The sequence below is a fragment of the Homo sapiens genome, chromosome 14, assembly GCF_000001405.40.
Source record: "Homo sapiens chromosome 14, GRCh38.p14 Primary Assembly".
NCBI lineage: Eukaryota > Metazoa > Chordata > Mammalia > Primates > Hominidae > Homo > Homo sapiens.
This window is the reverse complement of record NC_000014.9, coordinates 19,830,254-19,834,379: the sequence shown is the minus strand read 5'-3', so window position 1 is coordinate 19,834,379 and position 4,126 is coordinate 19,830,254.

The following is a 4,126-nucleotide window of genomic DNA, read 5'->3' as shown; positions in this document are numbered from 1 at the left end:
TCTGATGGGAAGACTGCCCTGCAGAATTCATGTCCGACAGTTCCCGTAGGGCTAAAGTCTCCTATGAAAGCAAGTCAAGTCTGGAAGGATGGGCATCCCTGGCCATGCTCTGCTATAGATGTTCCTGCAACAAACCCTCTGGGCTCCATATCGGCTAGCGTGCTGCTCCTACCACTCTTCTAAGCACCTCCCCTGCCAACTCTGTCTGTAGTGATTGAGGGGTCTCCTCCCAGTGGGATTCCAGAGGCTTGTGGCAAGAGTAGGTTGCTTCTTGCCAGTTCAACTCACCCATTCCCCCAAAGTTCTTGGGGGTGAGGAACGAGTCCCATTGCACTGTAGCCCCACCCAGCTTCTGCCCAGCTTTTGTGTCTTGAGGACCTGTTAGGACTGTGCCAGTCATCCCAGTCCCACAGTGACAGCTGTTCTACCTGGCTGCAACTAGTCAGACATCTTGACCAAATTGGAAGTTTCTTACAAAGCTGAGCATAGCCTTACCATATGGTCACACTCCCAGGCACTTACCCAACTGATTTGAAACGTGTACACAAAAACCCAGTCATGAATGTTCACAGCAACTTCATTCCCTAACAGCCAAAAATTGGAGACAATCACAATGTTCTTCAACGAGTGTATGAATAAACAAACTGTGCTATATTTACAATAGAATGTTATTCAGCAATAAAGAGGACATTAACTACCAAGCCATAAAAAAGCGTGAATGAATCTTAAATGCATAATGCTAGCTGAAAGAAGCCAGTTTTGAAAGGTTATATACTGTATGACTCCAATTATATGACATTCTAGAAAAATTAGAACTATAGAGACAGTAAAAGACTGGTGGTTACCAAGAGTACAAGGAGAAGAAAGAAGAGTCGAATAATTTAAGTTGAAGAACAATTTAGGGTGAAGAAATTATTCTTTCTAATGCTGTAGAAATGAATACCTGACATTATAAATATGTCAAAAACTATAAAAAAAACTTAATTTGTGTAAGTTTTAACAACTATACTACAACAAATTGAATAACCTTGAAGAAATAGATAAATTTCTGGACACAATTTGTCAAAATTAAATTAAGAAGGAATAAAAAATCTTAACCGATCAGTAAGGAATAAAATTGAATCAATACTTTCAAAAATCTCCCAGCAAAGAAAGGCCCAGGACCTAATGGATTCTCTTTTAAATTTTACCAAACATTTGAAAAAGAACTAATACCAATTTATTCCAAACTCTTCCAAATATTGAAGAGGCAGGAACACTTCCATACTCATTTTAGAAGGCCTGCATTACTCTGATACCTAAGCCACAGATGGATACTAAAATAAAAGTTCAATCCAGTATCTCTGATGAACATAAATGCCAAAATACTAACACATTAAATCTGGCAGCACATTAAAAGGATAATTCACTGTTTGTGATATTTGAACATATGCAAATCAATAAATGTGATATACCACATTGGCAGAATGAAAGGCAAAAACCATATGATCACCTCAATAGATGCAGAAAAGGCATTGACAAAATTCAACATCCTTCATGATAAAAAAATTCCAGCAAATTATGCTTAGAAGGAGCCTACCACAGTGATAAATGCCACATATGACAAGCGCACAGCTAACATCATATTCAATGGTGAAAAATTGAAAGCTTTCCTTCTAAGATCAGAAAGACAATAAGGATGTCCACTCTCACCGAGTCTACTCAAAATATTACTGAAAGTACTAGCTAGAGTAAGTAGGTAAGAAATAAAAGGCAACCAAATTGGAAAAGAAGTAAAATTATCTGTTTGCAGATGACGTGATCTTATATCGAGAAAATCCTAAAGATGTCCTCAAAAAAACCTTTTAGAATAAATGAGTTCATAAAGCTGCAGATTAAAAAATGAACATACAAAAACCAGTGGGATCTCTAAACACTAACAATGAATTATCTGAAAAGGAAGTCAAGAAAACAATCCCATTTATAACTATAAAAAAATTAAAACAAAATACTTAGGAATAAATTCAACCAAGGAGGTGAAAGCTCTGTACACTGAAAACTATAATACATTGATGAAATAAATGGAAAAAGAGAATTAAAAGTAAATATATCTGTGTACATTAATTTAAAAAATTAATATTGTTAAAATATCTAAAATAATTAAATTACCTACAGATTCAATCCAGTCCCTATTAAAATTCCAATGGCATTCATCATAGAAATGAAAAAAAAAAAAACCAAATTTGTACGTACTTGTAAAAGACTCCAAATAGCCAAAGTAATTTTGAGAAAAAGGAACAAAGCTGGAAGCATCACACTCACTGCTTCAAACTCTACTACAAAGCCATATTAATTAAAACAGTATGGTACTATAAAAACATGACATATAACAATGGAACAGAGTAGGGAGCCCAAAAATAAATTCACACATATATGGCCAACTAAGATTTGACAAGGGTGCCAATAATACACAATGGGAAAAGAAAAGTCTATTTAATAAATGCTGTTGGAAAAGCTAAATATCCACATGCAAAAGAAAGAAACTGAAGTCTTGTCTTATGACATATACTAAAACTAACTGGAAATGAATTAAAGATTTAAATGTATAACCTGAAACTGTAAAACTACCAGAAGAAAACATAAGGAAAAAACACCTTGACAACAGTCTTGGCAATCATTTTTTGGATATGACCACAAAAGCACAGGCAACAAAAAATAAACAAGTGGGACTATATCAACTAAAAATTCCACTGCACCACAAAAGAAACAATCGACCACATTAAAAGGCAACCTATCGAATGGGAGAAAATATTAGTAAACCATATGTATGATAAGGGGTTAATATTCATAATATATTAGGAAGTACACAAGTCAACAGTAAAACAACAAACAATGTGATTTTTACAATTGGCAAAGATTTTAACAGCTACATTCCCAAAACAGACATAGAAATAGCCAACATGCATATGAAAAGGTGCTCAACACCATCAACCATTGGGAAAATGCAAATTAAAACCACAATGAGACATCACTTCATACCTGCTGAAATGGCTATTATGAGAAGACACATGATAACAAGTATTGGTCAGGATGTGGAGAAAAGGGAACCCTTTTACGCTATTGATGGAAATGTAAATTGGCACAGGCATTATGGAAAACAATATAGATGTTCTTCAAAAAATAAAAAATAAAACTTCCATATGTTCCAGCAATCTCACTTCTAGATATATACCCAAAGGAAATGAAATCAGTATCTCTAAAAGATAACTTTACTGCTATGTTCACTGCAGCATCATTCACTATAGCCAAAATATGGAAACAACCCAAGTGTACATCAATTGATGAATGAGTATAAAAACTGTGGTACGTATATGTGATAGACTGTCATTCAGCCACAGAAAGAAGGAAGTTTTGCCATTTGCAGCAACATAGATAAACCTAATAGACATTACGGTAGGTGAAATAAGCCAGACACGGAAAGACAGACACTATATGATCTCACTTACATGTAGAATCTGAAAAAAAAAAAAAGCTCATCGAAGGAGAGAGTAGAACAGTGGTTGTCAGAGGGTTTTGAAGTCAGAGAAAAGGGGAATATGTTGGTCAAATGGTACCAACTTTCAGCCATAAGATAAACACATTCTTGGTAACTAATGTACAACACGGATGGTGATTAATGTGTTAATTTGATTGTGGTAATCATTATACAATGTATATGCATATCAAATTATCATTTCATATACCTTGAATATATTTGACCTTTATTTGTCAATTAAATTTTTATAAATTTAAAAATCTACAAAAGAAATCATTTCAATTCTATACAATAAAAAAGAACTATCTAAAAGGGAAATTAAGAAATTAATCTCATTTCCATTAGAACCAAAAAATAAAATATTTAGGAGTAAACTTAAACAAGGAGGTGAAAGACTTGTACACTTAAACTGTAAAATATTGATGAAAGAAATTAAAGCAGATGCAAATAAATGGAAAGACTTTCTATGTTAATGGAATAGAACAATTAATATTGTTAAAATATCCACACTACCTGAAGCAATCTATAGATTCAATGCAATCTCTGTGAAAATCCCAACATCATTTTTTAAAGAAATTTTTAAAAATCCTAAAATTCATGTGGAGACACAAA